A 16,429-nucleotide genomic window follows, 5' to 3' on the forward strand; every position below is an offset into this window, starting at 1 on the left:
AGGCATGTGCCACCATGCTCGGCTAATTTTGTATTTTTAGTAGAGACGGGTTTTCTCCATGTTGGTCAGGCTACTTTCAGACTCCTAACCTCAGGTGATCTGCCCGCCTCGGCCTCCCAAAGTGCTGGGATTACAGGCGTGAGCCACCGCGCCCGGCCTAATAAATCGATCTTTAAAAACATCTTAATTGAGGTTCTCTAAAGGGAGCCTTTTAGGCAACACGCCCGCTAGGTGTACTGATTGCTAGGGTGGCTGGTGTCAGGCGAATCGCTGTGGCTCCCCCAGCCCCTTCCTGGGAGCATTCTGGAAAGACAGCGTGGAAACGCGCGCCGCCTGGTGGTCCCCGGAGCGGCCATGGTGCCCAGCCCCGCGGCCTCACCCTGCCCTCGAACCCCGTTTCAAGCACCCGCGGATTCTCACGTCCTCTTCTTCCAGGGCGGCGGGCCCTTCTCCTGCACCTTGGCCTGGCGCTTCTTCTCGGCCTCCTCAGCCTCCGGTTTCTTCTCCGTGGCCACCTTGTAAGGCCACTTGGGTATCCGCAGGTGGCCACTGTCCTTGGTGCTGCCCTTCCACGCCGGCCTCTGGGGCTGGAAGGTGGGCGCGGGCGCCTTGCAGAGGCGGATCCGGGGCACCACCACGCCGGGCCATAAGCTGCTCCGCCGCAGGCGCTGCAGGGGCAGGAGACTGGCCTTCCGTGGGGCGGGGTCGGCAGAGCCCCAGGACCCTGGCAGCGGGACAGGTGGGAGGCCGGCTCTTGGGGAGCCCTCCCGGGAACCCGCGGCCTCTGGGTAGGGCCGCTTGTGCTACTCTGCGCCCTCCGCTTCTCCTGCCTCCTGCGCCTGCCTCCCCACCCCCCGCCGCGTCGCCAGAATTTCCTGAGCCGTCTGGATTTCCTGCACCGCCAGTCGCCTCTTCCCCACGCCCAGGGAGCTCTGGGGGCACACAGTCTGGCACGCGAGGGCCACGGCGGGGCTGTTAGAGGCTGGTGGTCATCCTGACCATGTGGTCCAGGGCGCCCCGGTCCTCCGGGCCACAGGTGGAGCGCCGCGTCAGCGCGGACAGCTCGCAGTCCCTGACCCTCTGCAGGCAGTTCTTCGAGCCCTCGATCATTGGCGCCCTCTCGTGGAGCGGAGGCAGCTCAAGCTGGTACTTTTTCCCCAACCGCTGCTGGCAGGGGCGCTCCAGGAGCCTCTGAATGAGGCGGACGTGTAAGTGGCTACTCCTCTGGCAGCATCCCACGGCGGGGGCCCTCGCGTGGACACCCGCCCCTGCCAGCTCAGGGCTCGGATGCCACTGGTTCCACCCTGCATGGCGGCTTTCAACCCGAACGCGTCCATCCTTCAAGGTCAAGACCCAGGACGTAGTTCAACAAGTAGTTGGTGATGATAGCATGCCCTGACTGGGCCAGAACAGCCTCTTTAGTAAAACAGCGCAGGAAAGTCATGAAGAAGATGTTCAGCTCCTTTCCTCATTTTCACTTTAATTCCGTGATGCCTCTGTGTCTGTCTGACAACATCTCTCCTGGGGTCTGGGACTCTGCTGGTCTTCAATGCCTACTGAGAAGGGTTCCTGGCCATCATCAGGCATGAAAACCACAAAGCCCTCCGTCCTCAACGTGGGATCCCTGGGCAAGCGGCATCAGCCTCACCAGGAAACCTGTTCTTCTGCTCATTCTTGGGCCCCACCCCAGGCCTATTCAAAGAAAGACTCCAGCAGCCGGGTTTGGCAGCCTGTGTTTCCACCAGATCTGTGTTAAAGCTCAAAAGAACCAGCCCAGGTGATGCTGACGCAGGAAGCGCAAGGCTGAGAGCCAGTGTCTAAGGCAACTGTGCCCATGGGGCCAGGGGCAGCTCCTGCCTGTGCAGCTATGATTAGGGTTGCGTTCCCCTCCCTGTCCTGCCAGTTGACTTCGATGTGGTGGCACTCAGCTAAGGCCACCAGGGTATATTCACAAAGCCGTGGTAGCAGGCGACATCAAGGCCGGTCTAGCCATTGTGGTCAGTCTCCTGCGTCTTCTCAACGCTCACCCCCCGCCGCACCAACGTCTGCAGCAGCCCCACGCCTCCAATACGACCTCCTCCAGGACGCCCTCCTCCAGGACGCTCTCCAAGCCCTCAACACCATGCTCCTCCTCCTCCTGGAAAGGGTAGAAAGAGTCGTCCCAGGCGATGCTGCAGGTGTCGGGCAGACTGGAGAAGTCCTGGAACTCTTTGCAGTCAGCACGGTCCTCCTCGACCTGGGTGCCTAGGAGTGGGGACGGCGGTGGCGGGGTCATGCAGCGCACCCCGCCACCCTGTGGCTGGGTCCCAGCCAGCAGCACCATGCTGGTGGCTGGAGGCTTGCGCGGGGGGCCGAGGCTCTGTCTGGGAAAGTCTGTTGCGCGTCAAGGTCCCTGCTTCTTGCTTCTGCATCCCCAGGGAAGCCCTAGCTCTGGCAGCCAGCCCGGTGGAAACCTCCCTTCTTTTACATTATTAAGTTTGTTTTTATTTTAATTTTTTAGGACATTGATAAAATCACTTTCTGATTTTTGAGATTAAAAATTAAATAATTTTCAAGTTTACCCTTTTTAAAATTTTTCACTATTTTCATGCTTTTATTTTTTGTATATTTTAATTATTGTAATTATATCTTCAATTATTACGGAGGATTTCAGAAAAGTATTTTCACACAATAAAGTCTAATTAATTAACTCTTATTTATTCTCTCCTCTATCTCAAATACGTACTTTAACCTTTGAGAACGCTTTATGTTTTGAGACTCTTGTTACTTACGTGACATTTTAACTATTATTCTTCACTCTTCTAGTGAATTTTTAATGTCATTCAAAGGGTACATCTTTCTATAGTGAGAATTAGACAGTTCTCAAAAATATTCTCAAGTATTAGGAATTTCACCTTCCAATGGTATGTTAAGTATGTTCTCCTTCTCTTCTAATGCATATTCCCCGCCCCCCGCCCCCCGCTAATTTTGTATTTGAAGTAAAGACAAAGTTTTACCATGTTGAACAGGCCAGTCTTGAACTCTTGACCTCAAGTGATCCACCTGCCTAGGCCTCCCAAATGCTGGGATTACAAAAACAGCAACTAAATGCTGGAATGGTGACTGGGAACTTGTCTGGAGTCTCCATTGATTATCCTCCCCATAACAAGGCAGAAAGCCTTCCTCAGAATTATCTGGACTGACATTACTCATTGTCCAGACCTGTTAACAGACTCCTGCAACCAGAGCTGTGAGTCTCAAATGTGCTCTTCAGTAATGCAGTAGAAGGTCTGAGTTTCCACATAGAAGTATCCTTGAATGCCTGGAGAATTTTAAGGCATAAGAACGTACTGATACTATGAACTATATGTTATGTAAAATCTCAGGTTATGTGAGGTGTTTGGACAAATTAAGCGTCAGGGTGATATCCACTATTGAGACAGAAAATGAGTCTAAAGAATTAAGACCTCAAAGTCCAGAATGAGAAAAAATTGTTTTGCTTAGAGCCTCCTTATAATTGTCTTACTTGTTTTGTAGATATAAGCACTAGAGGACAAGCTCTACCTGATATAGCTGGCCTAGACATATGCAGATTTATTAATTGTAGAAGAAAGAATTATACCTTTCAAGTAAAATGGCCACCAAAAATAATTAGTTGCTGTTTTTGAGACAAGTTCTCACTCTGTCACTCAGGCTGGAGTGCAATGGCACAAACAGAACTCACTGCAGATTTATACTCCTGGACTCAAGCAATCCTCCCAACTCAGCCTCCTGAGAAGCTGGGACAACAGGTGCACACCACCACTCAAGGCTAATTTTCTGTTTATTTTTTGGTAGAGATAAGCTACCCAATTGCCCAGGCTGATCTCAAACTCCTGGCCTCCAGTGATTTTTCTGCCTTGGCCTGCCAAAGCACTGAGATTATAAGTATGGCCACTGTAACCAGCTTTAGATCAATTTTATTTAATACAGATAGCTTCCCAACTAAAAATATTTCATTAGAATTCTCTTAATTCAGCAAAGCAATGTTATTACTGACCCAGTCTTCACTTATTTTCAGCTTACATGCAGGAACAAAATTACCTTTATTTTTTAATTTGTTTTATTTTATATTTTCAAGGTGCACAATATGTCGTTTTGAGATACATGTGCATCAGGAAATGATTTCTATAATGAAGAAAATTAACAAATCTATCATATCACTTAGTTCTGCTTCTTTTTGATGATAAGAACATCAAAAATCTAGTCCTTCAGTATATTTCCCAAAAACAATACAAGATTATCTAATATACCTACAGGTTGTACATCAGATTCATTTATTCTACATTACTGCACCTTTACAACTTTTGCCCTTCATTTACCTATTTTCTTCCCACCAATGTAACCACCTTTTTGAATGCATGAAACTTATAAAAATAGATTTCAAATATGAGTGGGACCATGAGGTATTTTTCTCTGTGTGTCTGTCTTATTTCACTTAGGAAACCTACCATTTACATGTCTCCTAAATTTAGTACAGAAATAAAGTGCTAGTCAAGAATGTGTCTCTGTTTTGTTAGATTAATTTTTTTCCAAGTTATCCTCTTTATCAATTTTTACTTTTTGTTCTATGGAAGGGTGTAAATTCTTGTATTAAAAAAACGGTAACCAGGCTATTGATAAATAATTATTTTAGGGATAAAAATCTCAGGAAGTTCAAGATTTATGTATTAATGATTGGCAATGTTCTTAGTGGTCTCTCTGATTTATTTCAATTGTAAGTAAGTCTTGGTAATACTCTAACATAAATTATGATAGGTGAAGAGAATAAATAAAGTAAGTATCTCTAGGAAAATCAACACAATAAGATTATCTTTTTTAAATGGCTAAGAGCATATGGTAAATTGACACAAAAACTGCTTCATCTTCCAAAATCAGAGTCAAATACTAAATGATTGTAAAGTAGCTAATTCTGTCTTTCTGCCAAAGTGAATCTGAGCTAAATTAGAAGAATGTCAGGAATAAATTTTTCCTTGAAATCTAGCAAGAAATAATGTAATTAAATGATGAGGCTTTGACTGTTGCATAGAGTTTTAGCATCAACAGAAAAGCTCACAAAACATAGGTGAAAATCAAAAAGGAGTGCTGGGTTAGAGCCCTGAGGTGAGGAATTTTATCATCTCAGATCACTTGGAAAAAAGCAGCAAGTCCAAAGAAACTGGTGATAAGATTTCTCTCTGCTAACCCCTAATGTTCTGCATGAAATATGTGGAGGCAGAAGAGAGACAGTTTATTATAGTCTACATGGCATAGAGTGAAGGAATAAGAGAATATTTCTGATAAGTATTTTCAAAATTTGGAGAATCATTCCTATCCAAATCATTCATTTAAGGGACTAAAATACAAATAAGATGTTTCTTGCCACATAACCCTCAGCTAGCCAGGCTCTAAAAAGGATGACACTGGACACCTCGACAGTGGTAAAAAGCAGGGTTTACTCACTCTTGAATAACTAAGAACTGGTGCTAACCTTAGGCAGCAGCTTATCTATTTGGTTGAGGTTCAGCTATGTTTCATTGAACAAATCTCTTGGGTTATTTTCAGTTGTGCCAGTCATTTAATTTGTTTTCTGAATCAAATGATAAGAATTAATATGGTTTAGAGTGTAAACATCATTCCCAGATACATTACAACTTGGTGTCTCATCTGCCTAATTTTGAACCTATAGGGCGGGAATAAAAGCATTGTGAGAAACACCAGGTGATTTCCTTAAAGCCAAATACTCTTGTCCCTCCTACTTTTTTCCAGCTTTCCTGCTGCATGGGACACAGCAATAAATGGGAGTTTCCTGCACACAGAGGTAAAATTCACTTGTTGAAGATGTCAGTCTTCTTCTTGGCCAACTCCTATATTGGCACAAACATGTTGGAGAAATGCACCTACTGAATCATTTCTAAGTCAATAATCTATTTTGGGTTGTTTAACATGTATAAAATAGTGAGTGATTCATTTACATTTAGGTTAATTTGAGGACATGGCAAGATCAGAAGTTTTGGGAATCTAAGCTCACATTGATATTACTTTGAGGTCCACTCATTTGTGTAACACTTTCTGGGAAAGATGACTGAGTAGGTTATTTGAAGTTACCATAGAGCATAGACTCTCTGGGCCTCTTCTCCCTTCACTTCTGGAGAGAATGTCTTCAAGACTCAGACTTTACCAGGACATTAATTAATGACAAAATGACTAAAACTGGGTTTTTCATTACAGAAGAAATAGAAAATGCTTTCTAGATGGTAGGGAAATAATATCTTTAGAAACTGACTCCAAATTTCACACTGAACTTGGTGAAAGATGCATCTTGTGAAATGTCCCACATATTTCTATTTTTTTACAGGGTTTTGGAGACATATTACACAGGTGAGAGTTTACCTAGATTTTAGCATATATTCTTTCAGTTTCCATGAATGTCAAAGCAGGCTCTACCAAAGTCATGACATAAATGATTAAGATATTGATACTACCTTTTTTTTGCATCTGCTTTCACTCTTACACCAGAAAAGACAAGAACACTAAATAAATAAATAAATAAATAAATAAATAAATAAATAGTGAAATAAAGAAATGTTTATTCCTGATTTTGTTTTATTGCTTAAAGGCCTGCATAGGTGAAAGATAAAGTTTTGTTTTGTGGATGGTGAGAAAGTCACCAGAGGAAGCAGGAGAGAAGTGGGGGAAATATTTTAGCAGTGAAAAATTGATGATTTGTTGTTCATACCTACATACATATCAGTTAACAGTCCTGAAAAATAAGTTGAAAAAACTGTGGAGTGTTAGAACTGTATAAGTCTCTAGGGAAGCTTGTTTCTAAAAGGCAGGTCTAGCTGCCTAGAACAAGTTTCACATTCTTTATCTTGAAAAGGAAACAGCAGATGCAGCAGTCTCCCCAGAACCCTGCTATTTCAGACAAAGATGTCAGGGGAGTCTGCCAAGAAGTGGAACTCAGAATTTCATTTCCAAATATTCTCAAGGCCATAAGGCTAAGGAACCTTACACATGTGGGGCAGAAAAAAAGAAAGATCAGACTGAATTCTGACTCAGACTCTCCCACTATGCTTTAAAATTTGGAAACTGTAAATAGAAATTAATTCCGAAAAGGAAGTAATAATTTTTGAATAATCAAATTTGTGGATTCAAAGGATTCTCATGAACTGTCTTTTAAATAGGAATAGTGATTTTTATTTATTTTATGGCTGTAGGTGTTATAACTGCAGGTTTTTCCTTGCAGGAGTGAGTCTGTGCTGCTGCACATGCCCCAGCCTCTGAATCTAGAGCTTAGTGCAGGGCTCATCACTGGACTGAGGGACAGGCTCAACCAATTCTGAGGTAAGTCTCCACCCATAGCCAGTGCTCCCACTATCTAAATATTATTATTGTTAGGACCACATAGGTAATATTTCACCCTTTATCAAATATTTTACTTCCTTATAGACATAAGTGAACAACATAATCATGCAACCCTTTTGTATCTGTGTCTGTATAGTCAGATTTATAGCATTAAGTTTGAAAGATAGTGAAAAACAAATACATTTTGGCCTATTATGTACTGAGTAATGTAATGGGAAAAAGGAGTAGTGTAGCAAATTTTAAAAAGGAGCAAATGGAACAATGCTCAGAATGAAGGTGAGTTATTTAATGTTAAATACAAAATTTTACATTTCCTTAGTGTATTCATTTGAACAGCTAAGAATTGTTCTTTTGGGGATTATGGTTTACTGGGGATTGCTGGGGGTTTTTAATTTTTTAAATGGATATGTATCATGAATTGCAAAAAAAATTAGTTAATGGGTAAACATAAAAAGAAGAAATCATTTTGCGAATACAAGTAAAATTACAAACAAAAAGAAGTTCAGGTTAATTGCAATATGAAAAGCTACAGGTTAAGTTTAAAATCCAGCTTCAGCCCCAAGCTAGCATGGAGGACCACAGAGAGACTGGTAAAAGATTTTACAGAAATCTGCTTTAAATTGTCACTTATGACATGTACTTACGGATTTTTATCCAGTCATCAACAGCAGTTCTTGAGTAACTGAAAATCTTCACATTCTTTCCAAAATGATAGCACTAGTTTTTAAGAATAAGAAACATTTCTAAATAATGATCTTGATAACAGCATACTATTTAGGGCATTTAATGTGCAAGTTTTGCTTGGAAAATTGGATTGAAAGAAGTTGGTCTTACATTTGGCTCTCAATATGTAAGATTTCAAAGCATTTTTAATATCGGTGGTTAGTGTTTTGTTTGTCTTTTAGTTAAATTAATCATCTCCATGTTTTATTAGAAGTTACAAGCGAAATCGTCCTTGTGACTTTACATTTCCTGGTAAATTAACTTCTCGATAGAACAATTTTTGCTTATTGACACATGTCTATGTATGTTTTGTTTCTTTCTCTTTTATTTATTTATTTATTTTTGCAGTGGATATTAATCTGAATCATGATGAGCCAACAGTCGTATCTTTCGATGTGGAGATTTGAGAAACATTTGTATTGGATCTGACCGTCAAAATCCGCCACATATCACTGCAACACCTACAAGTTTTCTTGCATGGGGTGCTCAGACTTTCACCTCCAGCAAATATTACTGGGAGGTCCATGTGGGGGACTCTTGGAATTGGGCTTTTGGTGTCTGTAATAAGTATTGGAAAGGGAAGAATCAGAATGACAATATATATGGAGAGGAGGGACTCTTTAGTCTTGGATGCGTCAGGAATGACATGGAGTGCAGTCTCTTTACCACCTCCCCACTTACACTGCAATATGTCCCAAGACCTTCCAGCCGCATAGGATTATTCCTGGATTGTGAAGCTAGAACTGTGAGCTTCGTTGATGTTAATCAAAGCTGCCCTATATACACCATCCCTAATTGCGCCTTCTCACATTCCTCTCAGGCCTGTCTTTCGGTGTGTTCACCTCTGACCAGAGATCAATCAGAAATGTGTTCATCTGCTGTGAGAACCCCTTTATTCCAGGAAGCCCTCTTCCTTATGCCTTATCAAACAGGACAAATAGGTTCTGTTTTATGTCTTGAATTGCCTCCTAATGTTATTAAAACTCATGTATTGTGTTACTATTAAAAATGGTAAAAACACTAAAAGTACATGTATTGGTTCTTTATTAATTTTTGAAAAATCTTTATTCATGATCATGGCATAAAATATATATATATATATTTTGTTTATTTCTGACTGCCACTGAGTGAAATAATAGATGACAGACATGTCTGAATGGAGTTAAAATCAATGGAAGAGAGTCGGGATCTTTTGCTTCACGCAAAAGCTTGGAGTGAAGTCTTAATGACAGCTGGGAAATGTTTTTCTTTCTCTTTACCTAACTATATCGCACTTACCCATCACATTTCATTTTACTAATCTATCCTGTGAGTTAATATTATTTGACCTTCCATGCTGGGCTTCATTTTGGAATTCTCACCACATAGATAAATAATCCTGCATTATTAGTGTGCTCTTCTACATTGAAATACACAAGGTGCTCAGAACAATGCTGGATTAATTGAATTTTTAAAAATAACTAAATATTGATTCCTACCTCAGAACACACACAATCATTTCCAAATAGATTCAAGTCCTGAAGGTAAGGGGAACATGATACAATATTCTCATAAGGATTTCTTAACCAGGACAAAAATTGACAATTAAAAAAATTAGTTGGTTTACATTAATGACGACTTCTGTGTTTCAAAAAACATGATACAAGAATTGAAATGAAAACAATTAGCAGAGAAAGATATTCACCCGAACACATATAAAATAAAATACAATAAATGTGCATGATGAATACTTAAGATGTATTTTAAGTATTTTTCCAGATTCTTCCAGAGTGGCATAGAATAAACTTGGATGGCAAATATCCACTTGCAGATTCTACAAAAAGAGTGTTTCAAAACTGCTCTATCAAAAGGAAGATTTAACTTTGTGAGTTGGATGCAATCATCACAAAGAAGTTTCTGAGAATGCTTCTGTCTAGTTTTTATGTGAAGATATGTCGTTTTCTACCATAGGTCTCAAAGCGCTCCAAATATTCACTTGCAGATTCTACAAAAGAGAGTTTCAAAACTGCTCTAAAAAAGGAAAGTTCAAATCTGGGTGTTGAATGCACATATAAAAAAGGAGTTTCTGAGAATGCTTCTGTCTATATTTTATGTGAAGATATTGCTGTTTCCAATGAAGGACTCAAGCTAGTCGAAATATATATTTGAAAATTGTACAAAAAGAGCATTCCAAAACTGCTATATCAAAAGTGAGGTTCAACTCCGTGAGTTGAATGAACACAAAACAAAGAAGTTCCGGAGAATGCTTTTGTCTAGTTTTTATATGAATATATAGCCGTTTCCAGCCAAGGCCTCAAAGCAGTCCAAATATGCAGTTGCATATTCTACAAAAAGAGTGTTTCAAACCTGCTCTGTGAAAAGTTATGTTCAACTCTCTGAGTTGAATGCACACATAACAAGAAGTTTCCGGGAATGCTTCTGTATAAATTTTATGTTAAAATATTCCCGTTTCCAACGAACGCCTCAAAGCAGTCCAAATATTCTCTTGCAGATTCTACAAAAAGAGTTTTTCAAAACTGCTCTATCAAAAAGAAGTTGCAACTCTGTGGTTTGAATGCACACATAACAAAGTTGTTCCTGAGAATGCTTCTGTCTAGTATTTATGTGAAGATATTCCCGTTTCCAACGAAGTCCTCAAAGGAGTCCATATATCCACTTGCACATTCTACCAAAAGAGTGTTTCAAAACTGCTCCATCAAAAGGAAGGTTCAACTCCGTGAGTTGAATGCACACATCACAAAGGAGTTTCTGAGAATGCTTCTGTCTAGTTTTTATGTGAAGATATGCCCGTTTCAGCTGTAGGCCTCAAATTGCTCCAAATATCCAATTGCAGATTCTACAAAAAGAGTATTTCAAAACTGCTCTATCAAAAGGAACATACAACTCTGTGAGTTGAATGCAATTATCACAAAGAAGTTTCTGAGAATGCTTCCGTCTATATCTTTTGTGAAAATACTTGCTTTTCTAACAGAGGCCACAAAGCGCTCCAAATATCCACTTGCAGATCCTACAAAAAGAGTGTTTCAAAACTGCTCTGTCAAAAGGAAGGTTCAGTTCTGTGAGTTGAATGCACACAGAACAAAGTAGATTTGGAGAATGGTTCTATCTAGTTTTTATGTGAAGATATTCTCGTTTCCAATTAAGGCCTCAAAGCAGTCCAAATACCCACTTGCACATACTACAAAAAGATTGTTTCAAAACTGCTCTATCAAAAAGAAGGTTCCACTCTGTGAGTGGAATGCACACATAACAAAGAAGTTCCTGAGAATGCTTCTGTCTAGAGTTTATAGGAAGAAATTCCCATTTTCAAAGAAGGCCTCAAAGCAGTCAAAATATCCACTTGCAGATTGTACAAAAACAGTGCATCAAAACTGCTCTATCAACAGAAAGGTTCAACTCCGTGAGATGAATGCACAAATAACAAAGAAGTTTCTGAGAATGCTTCCGTCTAGTTTTTATGTGAAGAATTCCCGTTTCTACCGTAAGCCCCAAAGTGCTCCAAATATCCACTTGCAGATTCTACAAAAGGAGCATTTCAAAACTGCTCTATCAAAAGGAAGGTTCAACTCTGTGAGTTGAATGCACACATAACAAAGAAGTTTCCGAGAATGCTTCAGTCTAGATTTTATGTGAAGATATTCCCGTTCGCAAAGGAGGCCTCAAAGCAGTCCAAATTTCCGCCTGCAGATTCTACAAAAAGAGTGTTTGGAAACCGGTCTATGAAAAGGTATGTTCAACTATGTGAGTTGAATACACACATCGCAAAGAAGTTTCTGAGAATGCTTCTGTCTAGTTTCATGTGAAGATATTCCCGTTTCCAACGAAGACCTCAAAGCAGTCCAAATATCCACTTTCAGATTCTACAAGAAGAGAGGTTCAAAACTGCTCTATCAAAAGGAAGGTTCAAATCTGTGAGTTGAATGCACACATAACAAAGTAGTTTCTGAGAATGCTTCTGTCTATATTTTATGTGAAGATATTCCTGTTTCCAACGAAGTCCTCAAAGCAGTCCAAATATCCACTTGCAGATTGAACGAAAAGAGTGTTTCAAAACTGCCCTATCAAAAGTGAGGTTCAACTCTGTGAGTTGAATGCACACATATCAAAGAAGTTCCTGAGAATGCTTCTGTCTACTTTTTATGTGAATATATTCCCTTTTCGAGTGAAGGCCTCAAAGCAGTACAAATATCCAGTAGCAGATTCTACCAAAAGAGTGTTTCAAAACTGCTCTATCAAAAAGAAGGTTCAACTCTGGGATTTGAATGCACACATAACAAAGAAGTTCCTGAGAATGCTTCCGTCTAGTATTTGTGTGAAGATATTACCGTTTCCAATGAAGGCCTCCAAGAAGTCCACATATCCACTTGCAGATACTACAAAGAGAGTGTTTCAAAACTACTCTATCAAAAGGAAGGTTCAACTCTGTGAGTTGAATGCACACATCACAAAGAAGTTTCAGAGAATGCTACTGTCTAGTTTTTTATGTGAAGATATTGCCGTTTCAACCATAGGCCTCAAAGTGCTCCAAATATTCACTTGAAGATTCTACAAAAAGAGTGTTTCAAAATGGCTTTATCAAAAGGAAGATTCAACTCACAGAGTTGAATGCACACATAACAAAGAAGTTTCTGAGAATGGTTCTTTCTAGTCTTTATGTGAAGATATTCCGATTTCCAAAGAAGGCACCAGAGCAGTCGAGATATCCACTTGCAGATTGTACAAAAAGAGAGTTTCAAAACTGCTCTATCAAAAGGAAGGTTCAACTCTGTGAGTTGAATGCAATCATCACAAAGAAGTTTCTGAGAATGATTCTTTCTGGTTTTCATGTGAATATATCCCCGTTTCCAGCGAAGGCCTCAAAGCCGTCCAAATACGCAGTTGCAGATTCTATAAAAAGACTGTGTCAAAACTGCTCTGTGAAAAGTTATGTTCAAATCTGTCAGTTGAATGCACACATAACAAAGAAGTTTTTGAGAATACTTCTGTCTAGTTTTTATGTGAAGATACTGAAGTTTCCAACGAAGGCCTCAAAAACTCCAAATATCCACTTGCAGATTGTACAAAAAGAGAGTTTCAAAACTGCTCTATCAAAAGGAAGGTTCAACTCTGTGAGTTGAATGCAATCATCACAAAGAAGTTTCTGAGAATGATTCTTTCTGGTTTTCATGTGAATATATCCCCGTTTCCAGCGAAGGCCTCAAAGCCGTCCAAATACGCAGTTGCAGATTCTATAAAAAGACTGTGTCAAAACTGCTCTGTGAAAAGTTATGTTCAAATCTGTCAGTTGAATGCACACATAACAAAGAAGTTTTTGAGAATACTTGTCTAGTTTTTATGTGAAGATACTGAAGTTTCCAACGAAGGCCTCAAAAACTCCAAATATCCACTTGCAGATTCTACAAAAAGAGTGTTTCTAAACTGCTCTATCAAAAAGAAGGTTCAACTCTGTGACTTGAATGCACACATAACAAAGAAGTTCCTGAGAATGCTTCTGTCTAGTTTTTATGTGAAGATATTCCCGTTTCCAACGAAGGCCTTAAAGCAGTCCAAGTATCCACTTGCAGATTTTCCTAAAAAGTGTTTCAAAACTGCTCTATCAAAAGAGAGGTTCAACTCCGTGAGTTCAGTGCACACATAACAAAGAAGTTTCTGAGAGTGCTTCTGTCTAGTTTTTATGTGAAGATATTCCCGTTTCAACATTAGGCCTCAAAGTGCTCCAAATATCCACTTGCAGATTCTACAAAAAGAGTGTTTCAAAACTTCTCTATCAAAAGGAAGGTTCAACTCTGTGAGTTGAATGCACACATAACAAAGAAGTTCCTGAGAATGCTTCTGTCTAGTTTTCATGTGAAGATATTCCCGTTTCCAACAAAGGCCTCAAAGCAGTCGAAATAGCCACTTGCAGATGGTACAAAAGGAGTGTTTCAAAACTATTATATCAAAAGTAAGGTTCAAGTCAGTGAGTTGACCACACAGAACAAAGAAGTTTCCGATAATGATTCTGTCTAGTTTTTATGTGAAGATAATGATTCTGTCTAGTTTTTATGTGAAGATATTCCCATTTCAACCGTAGGCCTCAAAGTGCTCCAAATATCCACTTGCAGATTCCACAAAAAGACTGGTTCAAAAGTGCTCTATCAAAAGGAAGGTTCAACTCTGTGAGTTGAATGCATACATAACAAAGTACTTTCTGAGAACGCTTCTGTCTAGTTTTAATGTTAGGATATTCCCTTTTCCAACGAAGGCCTCAAAGCATTCCAAATATCCACTTGCAGATTCTTCAAAAAGGGTGTTTCAAAACCGATCTATGAAAAGGTGTGTTCAACTCTGTGAGTTGGATGCAATCATCACAAAGAAGTTTCTGAGAATGCTTCTGTCCGGTTTTTATGTGAAGATATTTCCTTTTCTACTATAGGCCTCAAAGTGCTCCAAATATCCACTTGCAGATTCTACAAAAAGAGTGTTTCAAAACTGCTGTATCAAAATGAAGGTTCAACTCTGTGAGTTGAATACACACATAACAAAGAAGTTCCTGAGAATGCTTCAGTCTAGTTTTTATGTGAAGATATTTCCGTTTCCAAAGAAGGCCCCAAAGCAATCAAGATATCCACTTGCAGATTCTACAAAAATAGTGTTTCAAAACTGCTCTACCAAAAGGATGGTTTAACACCGTGCGTTGAATGCACACATAACAAAGTAGTTTTTGAGAATGCTTCTGTCTAGATTTTATGTGATGATATTCCCGTTTCCAAAGATGGCCTCAAAGCAGTACAAATATCCACTTGCAGATTCTACAAAGAGAGTGTTTCAAAACTGCTCTATCAACAGAAAGATTCAATTCCATGAGTTGAATGCTCACGTAACAAAAAAGTTTCTGAGAATGTTTCTGTCTAGTTTTTATGTGAGGATATTCCCGTTTCAACCCTAGGCCTCAAAATGCTTCAAATAACCACTGGCAGTTTCTACAAAAAGAGTGTTTCAAAACTGCTCTATCAAAAGGAAGGTTCAACTCTGTGAGTTAAATGCACACATCTAAAGAAGTTTCTGAGAATGCTTCTGTCTATTTTTTCTGTGAAGATATTCCTTTTCCAACGAAGGCCTCACAGCAGTCCAAATACCCACTTGCAGATTTTACAAAAAGAGTGTTTCAAAACTGCTCTATTAAAAGGTATGTTCAACTTTGTGAGTTGAATGCAGTCATCCTAAGGAAGTTTCTAACAATACTTCTGTCTGGTTTTTATGTGAAGATATTTCCTTTTCTACCACAGGCCTCAAAGCGCTCCAAATATCCACTTGCAGATCCTACAAAAAGAGTGTTTCAAAAGTGCTCTATCAAAAGGAACGTTCAACTCTGTGAGTTGAATGCAGACATAACAAAGAAGTTTCTGAGAATGCTTCTGTCTAGTATTTATGTGAAGATATTTCCGTTTCCAGCGAAGGACTCAAAGCAGTCCACATATCCACTTGCAGATTCTACAAAAATAGTGTTTCAAAACCGCTCTATGAAAAGGTATGTTCAACTCTGTGAGTTGAATGCAATCATCACAAAGAAGTTTCTGAGAATGCTTCTGTCTAGTTTTTATGTGAAGATATGTCCTTTTCTACCATAGGTCTCAAAGCGCTCCAAATATTCACCTGCAGATTCTACAAAGGAGAGTTTTAAAACTGCTCTAAAAAAGTAAAGTTCAAATCTGTGTGTTGAATGCACATATAGAAAAAGGAGTTTCTGAGAATGCTTCTGTCTATATTTTATGTGAAGATATTGCTGTTTCCAACGAAGGCCTCATACCAGTCAAAATATACATTTGAAAATTGTACAAAAAGAGTGTTCCAAAACTGCTATATCAAAAGTAAGGTTCAATTCCGTGAGTTGAATGAACACACAACAAAGAAGTTCCGGAGAATGCTTTTGTCTAGTTTTTATGTGAATATATTACCGTTTCCAGATAAGGCCTCAAAGCAGTCCAAATATGCAGTTGCATATTCTACAAAAAGAGTGTTTCAAAACTGCTCTGTGAAAAGTTATGTTCAACTCTGTGAGTTGAATGCACACATAACAAGTAGTTTCCGGGAATGCTTCAACGAAGGCCTCAAAGCAGTCCAAATATTCTCTTGCAGATTCTACAAAAAGAGTTTTTCAAAACTGCTCTATCAAAAAGAAGTTTCAACTCTGTGGCTTGAATGCACACATAACAAAGATGTTCCTGAGAATGCTTCTGTCTAGTATTTATGTGAAGACATTCCCGTTTCCAACGAAGTCCTCAAAGGAGTCCACATATCCACTTGTACATTCTACCAAAAGTGTGTTTTGAAAGTGCTCCATCAAAAGGAAGGTTCAACT

The 16,429-nt window shown here is 39.7% G+C and overlaps 2 pseudogenes; one reads left to right on the forward strand and one right to left on the reverse strand.

The window, feature by feature from the left end:
- ANKRD33BP2 (ANKRD33B pseudogene 2) lies at window positions 360-1,405 on the reverse strand (annotated as a pseudogene).
- LOC100420449 (tripartite motif containing 48 pseudogene) lies at window positions 7,244-9,114 on the forward strand (annotated as a pseudogene).

This window comes from Homo sapiens, chromosome 11 (assembly GCF_000001405.40).
Source record: "Homo sapiens chromosome 11, GRCh38.p14 Primary Assembly".
In the NCBI taxonomy this organism is placed as follows: domain Eukaryota; kingdom Metazoa; phylum Chordata; class Mammalia; order Primates; family Hominidae; genus Homo; species Homo sapiens.